General features: G+C 47.1%; 1 annotated feature.

The window, feature by feature from the left end:
* Positions 104-303: a silencer, noted in NCBI's record as "silent region_10732". NCBI's record gives its function as "represses an Ori minimal core promoter by ATAC-STARR-seq in GM12878 lymphoblastoid cells {active_cell/tissue: GM12878}" and the evidence as "EXISTENCE:reporter gene assay evidence [ECO:0000049][PMID:35858748]".

Genomic DNA, 478 nt, shown 5'->3' with positions numbered 1-478 from the left:
GATGCCACAGGCGTCTGGACTACACTTCCCAGAATCCCCCGAATCCGCCTGCCTGAGCCAAAGTTCCCACGACTCCACAGAGCAAATGGACTCCACTTCCCAGAATTCACAGGTCCTCCTGCCTGGGCCAAAATTCCCACGCCTCCCAAGCTACTCGCGAAACGCCTGCGGGAGCCAAATTTCCTGCGCATCGACCGGGCAATTAGACTCCCGCAGGCGTTTCGCTGGTATCTTGGGAAATGGAGTCCATTTGCTCTGTGGAGGCGTGAGAATTTTGGCTCAGGCAGGTGGACCTGTGAATTCTGGCCTATCAACCTATATTTTTATTTTAAAAAAATGGAGTCTCATGTTCTATATCAATTTTTCTAAACTAAAAAAGAATACTTTTCATGGTTTTCTTTAGATAAAGTGACTGTGCCAACCACAGTATGAGGAACACTTCTCTGAAAATTGAGTGACTGCTATTTCTAAACCAGTT

Source organism: Homo sapiens, chromosome 19, assembly GCF_000001405.40.
Source record: "Homo sapiens chromosome 19, GRCh38.p14 Primary Assembly".
In the NCBI taxonomy this organism is placed as follows: Eukaryota; Metazoa; Chordata; class Mammalia; order Primates; family Hominidae; genus Homo; species Homo sapiens.
This window is presented reverse-complemented; position numbering and strand designations above follow the sequence as displayed.